The sequence below is a fragment of the Homo sapiens genome, chromosome 10 (genome assembly GCF_000001405.40).
Source record: "Homo sapiens chromosome 10, GRCh38.p14 Primary Assembly".
NCBI lineage: Eukaryota > Metazoa > Chordata > Mammalia > Primates > Hominidae > Homo > Homo sapiens.
The window spans coordinates 10,865,227-10,883,481 of NC_000010.11; the positions used below are offsets into that span (position 1 = coordinate 10,865,227).

General features: G+C 40.0%; 1 protein-coding gene across 24 annotated transcripts in view, besides 1 other annotated feature; it reads left to right on the top strand.

Moving 5' to 3' along the window:
• Positions 1-18,255, top strand: part of CELF2 (CUGBP Elav-like family member 2) — an 874,126-nt gene that overhangs the window by 402,677 nt on the left and 453,194 nt on the right. The window lies entirely within an intron of this gene.
• Positions 5,497-5,546: a silencer, noted in NCBI's record as "silent region_2122". NCBI's record gives its function as "represses an Ori minimal core promoter by ATAC-STARR-seq in GM12878 lymphoblastoid cells {active_cell/tissue: GM12878}" and the evidence as "EXISTENCE:reporter gene assay evidence [ECO:0000049][PMID:35858748]".

Here is an 18,255-nt window from a genome sequence, read left to right on the forward strand (position 1 = left end):
AAACCATCTAATGCCTAATGGGATTATCTCTGAAGCCACCAGGATAAAAAATGTCACAAAACAGAGTTCAAGTGGCATGAAGGTTTTGTTAGTGCTTTTTCTTCTCGCAAAAATATCAACCTGCATTTCAACACTAGTTATTACATATTCATCTTTTAGAATTCTCCCCAAAATAAAATATATGAATTTGCTCCTGTTTAATAAAAAGAGACCAAGCTAATATGCTTCTGATTATAATGAAGCCTTTTAAGTCTATGTTGTAATTCTGAGAGTGAGTCACAACGAGTTTTATTAGCCTTATAGTTACATCTAAGTCATTCTCAGTTTTTATTGCCTGAATGGAAAAAATATTAATACAGTTCATTATACTAAGTAACAGCTTCAAATTCTCAGATTTGCTCTGCCTAGCAGGTAAAATATGCGTGTCTTATTTCAAACCCACTAGGTTGAAATCCTCTGAGGATTAGATTTTCATTCATATTCCCAGTAACCTTTCCTTTCTGTTGTGCTATTCATCCATTTTTGTTACTATTCAAAGCAAAATGAGAGAGAAAGAAGAATGCAGGCACTATGTGAAAACTTAACTGGAAAAAAAAAGATTTTTTTTTTTTGAAGTGTGAAGATAAGCCTGTTTGAGCCCTAGATCATTAATAAAGCAGCTACATCACTGGGCAAATTGGAGAGGTTAAATAATTTTGTTCTAAGTGATCAATTATTTAGCACCATTTCCAGTGACAGTGTTATAGTGTTTGTGAAGTAACAGCAGAAGGGAGGTGCGTGTGTGGGGGTAGATTCCTGGTCCTCGGGCTTTCATGCAGTATTGGTAGGCATGTTCACACTGGTCCAGGAAGAGCCGCGGCCTGTCTTCCATTCCTCTTTCCCACAAGCTCACCAAGAAGCGAGGTCAAAGTGCACCTGCTTTTCCCTCTCAGAATATTCATTTCACAGGTACTCCTTTCTTCCATTCCATACAATTGGACAAGGCCTACATCTTCACACTGCTGACTTCAGCTTGTTTTGTTGCCTTTTTCCTTCCATCTTGGAATGCCCTGGTGTAGGGAAAGGGGAGCTGTGAGGCTTTACGAGTAAGAAATCACTTACTGTGCCAGGTGTGATGACTCATGCCTGTAATCCCAGCACTTTGGGAGGCAGGCAGATGACTTGAGGCCAGGAGTTTGAGACCAGCCTGGCCAACATGGTAAAACCCATCTCTATTAAAAATACAAAAATTAGCCAGGCATGGTGACACACGCCTGTAGTCCCAATTATGCTGGAGGCTGAGGGAGCAGAATCGCTTGAACCCGAGAGGTGGAGGTTGCAGTGAGCCGAAATCGTGCCACTGCACTCCAGTCTGGGTGACAGAGCAAGACTCCATCCTCTCAAAAAAAAAAAAAAAAAAAAAAAAATCCAACAATCAGGTTTCGTGCAGCTAATAAAATTGTGGTGAGGGCCGGGCGCGGTGGCTCACGACTGTAATTCCAACACTTTGGGAGGCCAAAGTGGGCAGATCACGGTAAAACCCCATCTTTACTAAAAACAAAAAATTAGATGGGCATGGTGGCAGGTACCTATAATCCCAGCTACCCGGGAGGCTGAGGCAGGAGAATCGCTTGAACCCATGAGGCAGAGGTTGCAGTGAGCTGAGATCACACCGTTGCACTCCAGCCTGGGTGACAAGAGTGAAACTCCTTCTCAAAAAAAAAAAAAAAAAAAGTGGGGTGAAATACTCTTCTTTTGTGTCCTTTGGATGCAATTATGCAGAATAAGGCATAAGTAAATATATCTACATTGATAAGAAATGGACAAAATTAAATTATCTTACTGATTATAAATAGAATATAGGGAGGTTGTGGGTCTTGATGTGCTGGTAAATGTTCAACAACCTACTCTCTGGGAAACAAAGGCTCTGATTTATACTGTCTGCATATTTCTGTGGTGTAAATATTTCTACCATGGCCAATTTCAAGCTACCAACATGATGTCACTGAGTGCAGCTATGGAAAAAGGTGCACAGTGGGCTCCCCCAGGTGGGTGTGAGCCAGCTCCAGCACACCATTGAGTGTGGACAAATATACAGTCTCACCCTCCATTGTGAACCATCTTCCCAACCAGAGATTTCACAAGTTACTGACAAGTGGAAATATTAACTGATTTATTCAATTAGTCTTTAAATATTTTCTAGGTAAAACTCTTAATTACTAGCAATGTTATGAAAAGATGCAAACACATCAACAGATTCTATAATATTCTGTTTTTGGAGCACAGCCTATCTCCCCAGCTTTCTCATTCTCTTCTTTCATATCGCTAATCTTATTGGCCTCAAACTTCTGCATCATTTTTTCCTTCATTTCTATTATCAAGCCTCTCCCAGCTTTACTTTCTTTCCCTGCACAGGCCAAAACCCATGGGCCATGCCTTCAACTCCTGCCTACCAGAAACCACAGCTGTCTCATTCTGTCTTCCTTCCTCATCTATTCTTTAAACCTGCAATCCAAGATCAATCCAGTCATGTTCTTTGTCTTCTCCTGACCTGGATAGCCGAGCACAGATGGAAAAAATCCCAGCCCCAGGCTGATGGTATTCTTCAGATTTATAGCTTAAACATCAGCATGGCCTTCAAGTATGTAGTGACCTTTTTTGCTGGATTCTGTCTTCGTTTCCACATATCTGATATTCCAAATATTTGTCCCTTTCTTAAACCCACTCTCCCATCCTTCTTTCTTTCTTACCAAATGATATTGTGTCCAGATTCTCACCTATAATTTCCCACCCATACAATCTGAAAATATATCTACAATCTTGCTTATTCTTGTGTCTTTTCTGCCTTCCTCCTATATCCAAAAGTCAAATTCCTAGATCAGTGTTTTGGTACCTGTCCCAGTTATCTGTTCCTGTTCAGCATACCACCCCCAGAATTAGTGGCGGTGAAATGACAGTTGATTATCTCTCATGGTTCTGTGCATTGACTGGGCTCAGCTGGGCATTTCTTACTGGGCTCTCTTGAGCACTTGACGTCAGATGTTGGCTAGGGCTGCAGCTATGGCCTTGCCTGGATCAGAGATGCAAGATGGCTCACACGCAAAGTTGGAAGTTGACGCTGGCTGGGAGCTCAGCTGCTTGTGACTCGAATACCTACATAAGGCCCCTCCATGTGATTTGGGTTTATTAAAGGCCATACCAAGAACAAATACTCCAAGAGGCAGGAAGAAGCTTCCAAGCCAGTTAAAGATTTGTGCCAAGAAATGGCAAGGTCTCATGTCTGCTATATTCTATTGGTCAAAGCAATTACAGAGCCTAACCAGGTGCCAGTGGGTAAAGAAATAAACTCTAGCCCTGGATGGGGGAGCAGAAAGGTCACATGGCAGAAGAGGAGATGGGATGGGAGATATTGCAGCTGTCTTTGGGGTCTACCATCTGCCACTGCGGAAACTCTCCTAGTTTTCATCTCCTTCCTTCCTACTGGCTGCTCTCCTGCTTTAACCTGTGAGCATGTTCTTATCACTATGTTGTTAAAAGAAAAAGGTACAGAAATCAATGGATGTATCATTTGTGATATGTATACTTTTTTCTACGTATATTATAGTTCAATAAAAAGTTTAAACATGGTAGAAAAAGGGAAGAATTTGTGGCTCACTGCTACCAAATAGGTAGGTCTTCATAGAATTTAGTTTTGATGCTAATTTCAATGGTAGGTATGTCCCCCATCCTAGCATGTTTCTTTCTCGACTACAGAACTAATTAATGTGTACCACACATGTAAAAGAATGTTATAGTAACATGTGCTAATATTAGGACAAACCAAACTACTGCATATGTCTATTTCTATCTATCTGTCTAGAAAGCAAAAACTTTTTTTCCATGTCTTACTTTTTTTAATAGTAACATGATGTAATAAACTGGACTCTTAACTTGGATATTGGAGGGATTAGATAGGTCTAAAAAAAAGTCTTGAGTTCTCAGAAGAGAAAAAGTCCATGTAAATATCACGTATTTGATTTCTATTATCCTTCCAATGAAGTTAGGTTGAATAATACCTCTTAGAAACTAAAATAACAGGTGGGGCGCGGTGGCTCACATCTGTAATCCCAGCACTTTGGGAGGCCAAGGCGGGCAGATCACAAGGTCAGGAGTTTGAGACCAGCCTGGCCAACACAGTGAAACCCCATCTCTACTAAAAATACAAAAATTAATTGGGCATGGTGGTGTACGCCCGTAATCCCAGCTACTTGGGAGGCTGAGGCAGGAGAATCCCTTGAACCCAGAAGGCAGAGGTTGCAGTGAACCAAGATCACCACCCCACTGCACTCCAGCCTGGGTGACAGAGTGAGACTTCATCTGGGGGAAAAAAAAATGGAAACAACAAATGTCCTGCATATATATTTTAGGATAGGATTTCTGCTCTGTCCCAACAACTAAAACACAACATTTTCTAATCCCTGGTTTTATGAAAAATTACAAAATAGGCAGCCTTTGGGATCCTCCATCTTTACTTTCGTATGGTGTCTACTTCCTCTGCACCCCTCTGCCATGTTGCATTCTCTCTTCACGCCTTATCAACATAATGAGTCATTTAGAAAACCGGCCATGAGTCATTACAAAAATTAAATAGCTGAATGCGGTGACATGTTTCTTTGGTCCCAGCTACTCTGAAGGCTGAGAGGATTGCTTGAGCCCAGGAGTATAAGGATCAGTCACAGTGAGATAGTGAGACCTCATCTCAAAAAAAAAGTAATGCCCAATTTTAAATGGTTTATTATATTGCCATTGAGATTACCTATATCTTATATTATGCCAGACCTCAGCCCTATCTACTATCTTAAAATCTAAAATTTAAGAACTTACTTGCAAAGAAATAGGAGATGGTTAACATAATATTAACCAAGAAGCCACAATGTTCATGTATTTTTATGAATTCTTAAGAAAAATCAGGAATGATGTCCATCTTTAAAATTTTTATTAAAGATTATTTCAAGAAAAGGAATAGAATTTAATAAATATACTTTAAAAGATATGTACGTTAAATTTAGGGACATTTGGTATATATAAAAAAAGGCCATAAGTCATTGAGATTATTTCACTTTGACATGTAAATGTATTGCCTATCTCGGGGTATATATATTTAAGTCTTCTCAATAATTATACCTTAGTTTTATTTATTTATTTTTTCCATGTTGAAACAATTTGGACAGCAGGGACCAGGGTCTAAGTCTCCATAGCAAAGACTCACCCTCATGGAAACGCCGGTGTGGCTCTCCAAGTGACTCTGTGCTTCAGTGATTTCCGAAATACCAGTAAATAACAAAAACTTTCAGGAAGTCAGCCCTCTGAGACCCAGAGTTGGGTCTTCTGATTCTCAACATGAAGCTGTTATGACACTGAGTCTGAGAATTAGGACCAAAAATGGGAAGCAGAAGTCTCCAATTAGTAAATTCTCTGGTTACACATTCTTGAGTTTCTTCTTATTTCCATTTTTAAAACCTCAACCTTAAATCCGTGTGGTCTTTAACCCACCGCCCGCCCAGCCTTCTGCGGTCAGGCATGAGTGCACACCTGCCACATCCCAGGCAGCACCAGAGCACGGTGACAGTCGCGCTGGCCTGAGCACAGTCTCCAAACAGTAAAAAGGGATTTACTGCCTCTTGTTCGTTAATATATCTTAGTTGCCTCCAGCCTTGTTATTTTCTCTAGACATTACCGGACTCACTAACGCAGTGGCCCGAAGTAGACAAGAGGCAGTGTACGCTCCCACCCCCACCCCGCAACTTGCAGAGAAGAGCAACTCCCTGCTGTTGCGCCATAAATAATTGAACAGTCTCTTCCAGGCAACACAGTCAAGATGCAGATTTAATTTATTCCCTGGGAGGACTAAAGGTGGCTATGTAGAGCCGGTTCGCAGTCAAGCTGAGCTGGGGACACTGGTACTTTCAAAATGTGTCAAACCATGCCCTGGGGTCCAGTGTCAAATGCCATTGCAAAGAAGGGTTCTTTTCTTTTTAGCTTTGTTCTGTTTCCCTGAGCATTCCTCATTAGGAAAAGAAACTTCATTCCACAACAGAAAGGGAAATGATACTGATGTCACTGGCTGGCATTTTGCACATCTTTAAATTCACTAAAAATCTATGCGCCACATCTAATGTCATGGTTTCTACCTTGTTTATTTTCTTTAGAAGATTTCTTTTTTAAAGCCACCTGTGACTTGACGTCTGGAGTTGTTTTACATAACACAGTCTGAAAAGCACACCTCGTGGAAGCTACAACTTCTTTGCTTGTGTTAGAAACCTAGCGGGAATGGCTCAGGACTGCAATCCCAGCACTTTGGGAGGCTGAGGAGGGCAGATCACGAGGTCTAGAGACCTAGTGGGAAAAAGAATGGAAAAGAGGGAAGGAGGAAGAGGAGGAGGGAAGGAAGGAAGACAAGAAAGAAATCCCAATTCAGGCATTTCGAAAGACTTCTAGGAAGGACTTTTGGGATGGAACCAGGGGACGTAAAAGAACCTGAGACCACCAGCAGCACGAGGACCCAGGAGCGAGGAGAGAAATGGGCTTTCCAGGGACCACTGGGAGCTGAAGGAGAGAGGAAGTAGTGAAAAGAGGCAAACATTGCCAGAAATTTGATAATTCAGCCCAAACGAATACAATGCTGAAACATGCAAACGTATTCTCAGGTCCCTAAGTCTCCTATTATAGGAGCTATAATATTGAGTACATTGATTTTCACATATTATCTTCCGTTGCCTATTTGACAAAAATTTCTATTTTGCATTTCAAAGAAGCTTATATCTTAAAGATATTCTATCCTGTCCTTTAATTACTCATTTTAGAAAATGCTTGATATTTTCCATGTGAAATATTTCCTTTGGAAAGCTCCTGTCCTTCCCTTCCTCTCTCCCTCAACCTTCCCCATGTGGGTATTTGCAAACTATGTAGACTATGGTTGGAATCTTTTTGGCAAGTACTTAATCAGACTCCGGCTTTGTTTTCAAGTCTGGGTTGCTATGATTGTATCCCTAAGGAAGTTGGTTACGTTTTGGAAAGACTGTGTAACGCAGAGGCCAGAGCTGTCTTTTTGACCTGGGAGGTGATTTGAGGAAATGATCTCAACAAATTAACTTCTCACTTGTTTTTAAATGACTTTGAGATACAAAGGAAGAAAAAAAATCAGTCACTGCTGAAGTTCAAAGAAACGATGTTCTACTGAGTGCTTTATGGATTTTTTTAAGTACAATTTTCCAAATAATAGAAAAACATTCCGAATGATGATGTTGCCTGATTCACTGCACACAGCTGTCAGCTGATCCCAAACATTTATGCTTACCATTAAAAGCTTGGAGAAAACCAGATAAGGGTGACTTCTAGTCCATCTAGACAGATAACAATGCAAGGCTGTGCCGACTCTAATGTAAACATGTAAAATAAACCCACAGAAGCAAAACAACAACAACAACAACAAAAAACTGCAAAAATTTTAAAGGCTCTCCCATAGCCTGGTGGCTTTTATGGAAAAATTTTTTTTGCACCCATGGGGTGAGGAAAGAAGAGAATTTTGTCCTTCTGGTGAAACCTCTTGCCATAGACTTGAAACCTGTAAAATCATGTGGTTTATGGAGCAATGTTTTGTGCCTTGAATTCCATATGCAGAGTTTGGGGAAAGGACACATGTGGTGAGAGGTTCTGAGGTCTTGTCTCATGGGACGCTGGTTCCAGGACTTTCTTTCTGGGTGACCTTTCTTGGTGGTTAAAATAAAACATAAACTTTCACCATTCAAGTTTCTCCCTTGCTTGCCTCATGTCAGCTTTCCTCACTCACTCACATTTGGGTAAATGTACACACATCCTTTTATCGGCTTATGTACACACATATATTGTACCAAGCTGGCCAATGCAATATTTATGTTTGTACTTTGAGCTGCCTAAGATTTTGTCATGAAATCTAAGGCTGCTGTAGGGGAGAGAGTGCATAAAACTTTCATGACTAGTATAAAAAATACAAAATGTTATCATTAATATTTAATAAAATTTGCAGCAGTCAATGAGCAAAATCAATGTTTTTTAATTAAGTTATTCATTTGTAATACGAGCCGTACCTTGTTGTGCATTAGGGTGGAATTTAGGATGTTGAACTTAAAATAAATAAATAAACTTAATTTTAGCCCTCGGGGTAACAGTATTAGTGATAAAACTATTAATTGGTTGCCTTTGCTTTGATAAGCAAACAGGGTTTCTTTAGTGACAACATCTTTTATCCCAAAGAGCCTTCTGAGTCTCAAGCTGGATTCTGTCCAAGGTGTTTAGTAAGATGAATTGCAGTTCATATTGTTGATAACAGGCACATCAGTGCCCCAAGCGTATTGTTACCTCCTACCAAGGCTCTCCTATTCAAAATTGGGGCTGCATGAAGGGTGGAAGTTTATACAACTTGAATGGGTTTTTAACCAAGGTTGTAGAGTCATCCTATATTAATTAAATTAGCAATAAATCGAAGATCTGTTCATCTCTCCAACTTCTCTTTGCTCTGGAATTTATTTTTCCAACCCATCGTCCCTATCCAGTTCTCCCTGTCCCTTCTCTGAATCCTCCTTGTCGGTTTCCAGACCTTCACCCCTTTGTCCAGCCTTCTTTCTGGGGGTGTGGAGGAAACAGCTTCCTGTGAGCAAAGCTGATGCGGGCAGGTGGCACATTGCTCTTCCTTACAGCCATTTAAAAATACAGCTTTGATTGGGATGCTGCTAACTTAGTCTCTGTATTTGCCCTATATCTAGTTGATGTAAATAATGTGCTGAAATTATATATTAAAATGATTCTGGCCAGGTACAGCGGCTCATGCCTATAATCCCAGCACTTTGGGAGGCAGAGGCAGCCAGGCTCGCTTGAGCCCAGGAGTTTGACACCAGCCAGGGCAACGTAGCAAGACCCTGCCTCTCCAAAAAAAAATGTTTTTGTAAATTAGCCAGGCATGGTGGCACATGCCTTAATCCTAACTACTTGGGAGGCTGAGGTAGGAGGATTGCTTGAGCCTAGGAGTTCAAGGTTGCAGTGAGCCATGATTGCACCACTGCACTCCAGCCTGAGTGACTTGAGTAGTGACAAAGTGACTCTGTCTCTTAAAAGAAAGAGTAGTGACAAAGAGACTCTGTCTCTTGAAAGAAAGAAAATAAAAAAGAAAGAACGCACTGTATTAATAATGCACTTTACCCAGATTCCATGGAAAATGGTTAAAAAAAAAAAAAAACCTTGATTATACTATACAGGGATGTCCATACCAGCTGATAACTATGAGTTAAAAATTTATAAATAGATCTCTAAGGACTTCTGATACAAGATTTTCAAAGTTGAGAGAAGAAAAGCATTGTTCTCATCAACCCTAATTATTAAACAAATTGTTAGTGTGATTTGTAAATGCAAAAAATGTAAGCACATTTCATAATATATGTTGATGTTGGTTAAATTTACCTAATGGGAAGTCGTGAAATTCCTGAAGGCTCAACTCAAACAAAATCATTTAATAAAAATAATATATATTGGAAAGATGGAGTATGTAGAATCCAGGATTAACTTGGTAACTTCTGAGGAACATGCAGAATGACACAAGCATTTCAATACCTGTTCTAGATTCACTAATAATATGACGTTGAAGGTGTAAAGGAAACAGTACATTCATCAGGGTGACCACAAGAAAAGGATTTAATTTTGATCTGTTTTAAGAATCTCTAGAAATAAATATAAATGTAAACTAGATTTCATTAAAATTGATCAAAGATGATTTCCTTATCCAAATTATCAAGAATAGTTAATATAGACCCTTTGGGGGTTTAGGAAAGTGTAGGAAGAAACTGTCTAGCTTATATTATGCTCAGCTTCTTTTGTTGTTTATTGAAATGTGTCAACTTTATTGTTAATATTTCACTGATGGTTCGTTCTTCATCTCTTCAATGTGGAATTCAATTTAAAATAAAATCCGATATTCCGTCTGAAAATTTCAATTCCCAGCAGAAGTATAATTCAATTAAGTTCCAAATATTTCTTTTAAAAATACAAAATAAAATCATTCTCTCTACATATGCTATTTCTGCTCAGTTCCAAAAGGATAAAAAACTGCATTTGTTTAGTTTTGGTTCATCTATCACTTTGTACATTTTTATGGATTTTTACGTGTAATCACATTTTCAGAGGGGATTTTTATATAGTCTGCTCCATTTCTGCAGAGTTATTACAGAGTTATTATCTTTCAGCCTTAAAATTATAAAAATTGATACACAATCTTTGGTTTCTCTCTCCCTAGGAAAGTGATGCGAAGCCATTCATCATTCACTGTGATGGGCTAAACTCGCTTTGTTTACTGTAGCGTAGGAGGGTTGTTTCTCCTCTTCCCTCTTTCTTACTAACAATGGTGGTGGTGATCATAGTGGCTTTCCTGCCTGTGCTGGGGTGGGAGGATGAGGGATAAGCACCTTACATCTAATCCTAGAAAAGAATCTGCATTTTTTTTTCTCTAAAAGCTTGATAAAGTACAGTATGTTATTTAAAAGGAACTTGCAGACTTCCATCTCCCTCTTCTGTTGAGGTTACTCTCCATACATCTCTTCCCTCTGCCTCTCTCTACCAATTTGCTGTTTGCAAGATGACTGCTCTATCAGACATAAAATGCTGCCTTTTCGCTTAACTATGCAACAACTGCTCTCTGTACTTCTAGGGCAGCCTTAATGGTGCATTTATATTCCATTCAAACTTGAACACAGCAAGAGAAAACCTACCTACAGGGATTGTAAGTACTGATGGCATTTGCCACCATCTGAAAGCCTTGCATATGGCGTTATGTGTACCTGAGCCATCCCAAAGTGTTGTCATTAAAACACAATTGTGCTTCACAGGTGTCAGCTGGGCAGAGGGGAGGTTTAGAATCATTTTTTATGAGGCTTATTCTAATCCCAGGGTTTGTGCAAAGGACCACATAAAAAAGCACCAAACTCAATGTCAGCTTCCATTTGAATACCAACTGGAGAAATACCTTCCCCTATAAATATGTTAGGAGAATGGGAGGTGGGAAGAAGCAGGGTTATGCTTAGGAGGAAGAGAGCGCTCCCATTGTGCTATGCTGTGGTGAGGTAGCATTCAACCCTCACAGTTAAGTTTGGGTTAACCTTAAGTTTAACCTGCACTTCTGTGCTAAACTGTGCCATTGTCTTCTCAGACACAAGGAATCCAAAAATGTCCTGCCACTGATCAGAATTATGTACATAATATACACCATCCTTGCCTCTTTATTCTCACCTGCCAGAGACTCTCACACACTTGGACAAGCGTGTCTTCTAATGAGATGTAGCAAACAGTGCCGCGTTTTAGGAGGCCGATTACTCTGAATGCAGTGTGATGGCTCTGGTTTTTTGATGTCTGCAGGACAAAGATGTGCAACGTCAAAATGCCTCTTTACTGACTCCTACCCTCCCTGTATGTATTGGTTTTCCTACTCTCCAGAATGCCTCTCCACTTACGGGATCATGTCTCTTATGTTCTCCTCTTCTTTCTCCTGTCTTTAAAACCAAGAAAGCATCATCATGCACTCCAGATAAGAGTGATATTTCAGATATAAATTAAGAGACACTTGTTTAAATGGAGCAACGTTTGTGCACATGCAATGTGTGTGTGGTCTATGTGTGTGCATGTGTGTTTGTGTGCAACACATGGTTGCATGTATGTAGGATGGAGATTCAGATCATACCTGAAATTCCTGAACTCGCATTTCCTCAGCTGAATGCCACCCAGAAGGCTTATTTGCACTCCTCTAGAGTACTGGCAGTGTTAGCGTCCTTCTACAAGAGTCCTATTGCAGGAGGCATCTAAAGATGTGGCTCCATAAAGGTGAGCAACTAATGTAGACTTGCCTTAAACAAGTAGAGGCCACTGCGGTAATCTGGGCAAGCAGTAATTCAACTTTCCTTCAACTTAATCATCAGGGCAGTATGACTGACAATTTCTTGTGTGAACCCCAAATATCTGAGACAGCTCTCAGTTAATTTAGACAATTTATTTTGCCAAGGTCAAGGACACACCCGTGACACAGCCTCAGGAGATCCTGATGACATGTGCCCAAGGTGATCAGAGCACAGTTTGGTTTTATACATTTTAGGGAGACATGAGACATCAATCATCATAGGTAAGTGAACATTGGTTCAGCCCAGAAAGGCAGGACAACGAGAAGTGGGGAGAGTGCTTCCAGGTCGTAGGTAGATTCCAGACAAATGGTTGCATTCTTTTGAGTTTCTGACTAGCCTCTCCAAAGGAGAACATCAGATATGCATTTATCTCAGTGAGCAGGGGAGTGACTTTGAATAGAATGAAAGGCAGTTTTGCCCTGAGCAGTTCCCCACTTGACTTTTCTCTTTAGCTTAGTGATTTGGGGGCCCTGAGATTTATTTTCCTTTCACAATTGAATGGATGGAAGATTTTCTCAGCAACCTGAAATTTAGAGAAAGAGAATTGATAAGGCTGTAAGATAATGAGTGAGATGGACGAGTTGGGTAGGAGGGAACCATTTTACTGCCATCCTTAGAGGAGGCTGAATACATTCCTTCTTTGCTTCCTTTCTTCCTTCCTTTATTTATTCAATAATTCTACTTCGTGCCTGTTATATTCAGCAAGCCTGGCGTAGCCTCTGACCTCCTGTAGTTGAGAGCATACATCTCTTTTATTCATTCATCCAGATAGGATCTAATTTTCTAGCAGCCTAACCCAGAAACCAAGATGCACTCTTCCAAAAAGAAAATTCATAAACCAAGTGGGGGATGGCTGATAGAAAACAGACCAACGGAGGGGACCAGTGGACCTCCCTGCCTCTACCAGAGCCTGAGGCAATCAAAAAGCTTGGGATTGCTCGCCCGCCAGCAGGAATTTCCCAGCTAGACACAGAAATGAACACCACCTCCTACACTTTCCAACCTGAAGATCCTATAGGATCCCATCTATTAGATGACTCTAATAGAATCCTTCACTCTCTGCTAGAAGGAAAGATATTGATTCCAGTGTCAACTAGCTTGGACCCAAGGGCCACTCTTTCCTTTGCTTGGTTGAGGAGCCATCTCCCTGGGCTAATCTGGTGAGCAACCTCAGATGGGAAAAAACAAACAGGCCTTTCTGTGAGTCTCTGAGCACAGTGGGTTACTTTCCTGGACAAGACACTTGCTTTGTGTGTGAATCAGTTTCCTTTCATGAAACCTTGAATTTAACCCGCGCTTCTGTGCCACGACGCAATTGTCTGCTCACTTCCTCAAGCCTGAGATTGGGGGGCTTCTGTCTGCTCTTTGAATCAGATGGTAGATAAAGATCTCATACACACACGTCCAAGTGGGCAGGCCTAGACAAGTGGTCGTACAAATACCCTCCACTTCAGCCTCAGTCCTCTCAAGTTGGTCATTTGTGCTGAGAAATCTCTCCTCATCTTAGTGAGTGGAGGGTTTCTGAGTGACAATACATCGCTACTTGTGGAGGAAAGAGTGTTTGTTTCCAATTCAAATTGAGATCACATAATTGTTTACGACGAAAACATGATTTTCTTTGCCCGCAAACACACAGAGGAAAGCAACCGTCCTCATGACAGCATTGTTACAGCATCTTCTCGTCTCTGCCAAGCTCTGGGTGAAGATCAGGGCCAGGGGAAATGAAGGGCTATGACTGCTTTGTGGTTGATTCCCTCCCACCTCCCTCAGATGCATTGTCTATAAAATTAAACTAAGATTTCATCCTTTACTTTTCACACTTCTCACTCCCAGGGCTGTTCCTGTTCGTTTTTTGTCTTTGCCGGGATGCACAAGGGGCCATTAATTACCTGTCGCTTTGTATCCAGGAGAATAACTGGGATGATTGTACTCACATCCCAGGGAGTTATCCTTTAGGTAATCAAATGAAAACAGTTAATTCCAAGCCTGCACGGCAGTGTACTTTCTCATAATGGAAAGTAAACACTGTGTCACTTTCATAACACATTTAAACAAGGGGCCTGGTGAATGCAATTCATTGCATCTGACAAAGGCAGAAAACCTCCCTGGCTGCTCCTGTGTCTCCCAGAGTGCCCGCTCCTGGACATTTCTCCAACATATACAATACTTAGTGCCACGCACTGGCTAGTATTCTCAAATGCAACCTGGTTAAATCCACACTAAAGACTTGATTTAGAACTTGACTCCGGCCTATGTATTTAAAAAAGAAAATCAAATTGTTCAGAGTTGAGTTGTTGCAAAGCTCACATTTGAAGTTGTTCATACCACAGATTCTCAGAATTACAAATAAAATAGGGTATTGAATTTACACATACCTTACCAGAAAGTCCTGTGATTAAATCATTTGGAAGGGATAAATGGCAATTCCATTTTGAAAGCTCTCTAGGAAAATAGTCTACAGGGCACCTGTCTTAATCATTTAACACTGAGTTAAGAAATCCTTTCTTCGGCCCAATCAAATGTAATTCTGTTACCTTGTATTATTGTGCCTTCTACATGAAATAAATGCTTTCTCTCTCCAGCGCACCTTGCTATCCCGACATCCTGTTCTTAATCCTTCTCTTCCTTGGGTGGAATAACTCCAGTATTTTCAAAGAGTTTCACTGCTCCCCCAACTCCACACCTGCCACTCCCCACATACACTTTCTGAACCTTCTTGTCTAGTCTGACAGTAATGGCATCACGGAGGTGACCATCTTCCTAATTATAAAACCTGACATCTAACCTCTTGAGTAATCTGACACAGGGTGAACTCAAGCAGTTCAATTTTCAAGTTTAAATCCATTTAGCAAATATTTATTCAGCCTTCTAAGTAGAAGAAAATGTGCCCAATCTAATGGGAATCAGGAAGGGTAAGAAACGGTTCCTCTCTTCAAGGAGCATAAATCGTAAGTCTAGGAATAACTAAATACAAGAACATCGCCATGATTTGAGAAACAGCACAAGAGGAGACTGTTACTAGTTTCTTGACAAAAGATTGGTTCCTGCAAGTCCTACAGAGACTGTGAGGGGCTGGGCCTACCAGGGAGGAGAAACATGAAATTTGGGCTTGGGAAGACTTAGATTTTCTCCCATGCCTGCTGTTAAGGGGGCCCACGTTATAGTTTCTGCTGTCCTTGAACTTGCAAGTGGCTGAAAAGATAAATGTACCATGATTTGGAGGCCTGAATATTCTGAACAGGAAGAAAATAGGGGTGATCAGTGTACGCAGGAAATTATCTGACCTCATTCCTTAGGATGGTGAAATAGAGAAGGGTGCTAAGGAGCCTATCTCCTTAACCGCATCTTTTTCGGACTGACTCTTACCCGAGAATCCTTCAAGTGAGATTTGGGGTGTTACGGATACTGGCTTCAGCCTCTATGACTAAAATATGTTGAGCATATGGATTTTACAGGAAGGCATAATTTCTGAAGCTAAGAAGCGAACAGACTGGGAAACACCAAAAGGAAGGACCAAGCAACTAGGCCAAAGCCAGCAGAAGTAGAATAAGCCTCTCTGTTTAGGCAGAGTGGAGTGGAAGCAAATTTCTTGAAACAGGATGTTTTTTGTCTTAACCAAAATAGTTGGGCTAATTTCTGCCATATTTTGTACATTCTATGTTTGTGCCTGTTTCCCGAATTCTTTGTCTTATTTTCTGCTTTTATTTTTTCCAGTGATGAGGAAGGTATATTTCTGGAAGGTAGAAAAGTCTTATGTACTCAAAGGATTCAAGGACTACCATTTTTTATTCTTCCTTATTTATAGTGAGAAACTTAGTGTGTTCCATTTTTCTCCACCCACCTTCTTCATGTCACATGGAATTCCAGACCCCGGTGATTGCTACAGTAAATAGATTCTTCCAGAAACTGTTTAACATGCATGTTTAATTTTGCAACTTCACTTACGACTGTTACTAGGACGTGATTCTATGGCCTCACCTTGATCAGTTGCTCACCACTGTCCCTCTGTCCTTGGACTTGCCTGCTATGCGTAAGTTCTTGCTTTTGATTCATCTCACTTATCACTGGAATAAATTTACATACATTTTCAGAACTGGTGCATGGATGGTATATTTTGAGAGACCTCGCATGTCCAAGCAAGACTTACAGTTGCCTTAAAATCTGAAAGCCATCTGGCTGCGTACAGAATTCATGAGTAACTACCTATTTCCTTCAGAATAAAAATAAATTTTTAACTTCATTTTTTTCCTGAAGTTTAAAGCTGTGAAAGAGAGTCTGGCTAGGGAGACCAGCTGTTAGTAAAATATGAGATACTTCAAACTTAATGCCTCTCTCCAAAGATTTGTAGCATTAGACAAAGGTAAACCCACCCTCCAGATTTAGCATCCTGAAACATTTTTCATATGTAACTCAGATTTCCTTTCTTTATTTTTAAGAAATGAAATGTTATGAGTCAGCTAAATTCCCGATCTGACTTTTGATGAGAATATTTTGCTTTAGTCTTTGACATTTTGAAAGTCTTCATATGTGTACAGGTGTGTCTTATACTGAAAGAGTCATCTCTCAGAGTCCACCCGGTGCTGCTAGAATCCCTTTTTTTCAGATGTGGTACTTAAGAGCAAGTTGTTATGCATATGCCAGACAAAACTGCCGCTGCCTAACAGTCATTTATCCACTTTATCAGGTTTCCGAAGTGTAGGCATGACTGGATATTACTCCATCTTCAATATGTTCCATCTTGTTTTGAGATTGGGGGCAATTTCTCCCAAAGATTAGTAATATTTCAATTGACACCTTTTGTATGTAGTATTACTGCATTTTGGCATCTTTTAACATGTTTTTAAGTCCACTTCAGGAGAAATGGGCAGAAAGTGAATCTGGCAAAGCCAGCGGATTGCTATCCTAACTCTGAAAATGCAATCGTTACCATATCCATTTATTTGGCTGGTTTCCCCATTTCCCACAGAATGGTTATCAACATTGTTTAGACTGCTATTGGCTTGCATCTTGTGACTCATGATTTCATTCTTGTAATCATGTCTTATAACATTCTTATAATCAGTCTTATAACATGAAGCAATTAATCAGAAAAGTGAGGTCCAAAGACCTCAATGAAGAAAGGAAGTAAGGGAAGAAGAAAGCAGGCAGTGAATCCCCGGAGTGGCCTCCTCTGGCTGAAATTGCCATCCAAGAGCAGAACTGAAATGTGGTTTCCCTCGTAGTTTGTTTTCTTAAATGTATCTCCATTCTGTCGTGACTTGACCACAAAGGGAAGGTGTTCTGTTGTCACTAAATTACTTGTCTGAACAGGGAAGGAAGTTTCTATTGGTTTAATCCTCATTCATAGCTACGAAAATGTGTCCTGTCTTTCTCATGAAACTCATTTAATTATTGGAAAATCCCTCTGCTAACATGAACAAATTGAATTATTCCATGGGGTTTTATTGCTCTAAAAAGCAATTCCTTCATTGATGAGAGAACCTCTCTAGCGTGTTAAGAGAGGGAAAATATCATACTTAATGACAGTTTGCCTCATGTGAATTTTCTCCGTAAGATTTTCTTGTGATTTGGGCCCTTGATAAATAAAGTGCATTTTATTATTTTACTCCTATTATTTTATTCTATTATTCCAAAATTTAAAATATCAAATAAAAAAAATCAAGTTCTGGGTGCACTGCTAACCTTTGATCTCTTTGCCTGTCCCCATAAAGCACCCTCAGACTAGGAATCTTCTGTTATAATAATATGATCTTGTCATGACTAAATAGTAAAGTTCACTTTCCCCTGGTTTATAAGCTCTGGGCATGATAAGATGGCGAAGGGGCTTATTGTCATTCTTCCTGTCTCTTGAAATGTCAGTTCCACACTTATTAATTAAGATAAGGTAGCACCAGGAGCAAGACTAATAGTTTACTTTCATTGTTATTGTATTTTAACAGGCCATTACACAATACTCAAAAATACTCTGTCATTCTGCTAATCTAGTAACAGACCCATGTATATCCATTTTACTTTTCAAGAGAAATATCTTTATAGAGCTTAGCAAATTAACACTTTGACTAGAGGAGCAAATATGTACATGTTTAAAAACCTACAGAAAAATAATGAGGCTAAATGTTAATTGAGCTACATTGTATTTACTTTTAGCTTTAAAATTCCTTACATAAATTGAGCGTTTAAGCAATAAAATTTGAGAAGTACAGCATTTTTCGTGTTCCAAAATTTTCTATCCTGTATAAGGAAAATAATGTTTTATTCAAGCAGTCATGCTGCAATCCAATGGCAGCTCTAACAGATTCTTCATTTAAATGTGTGTTGTCTACGG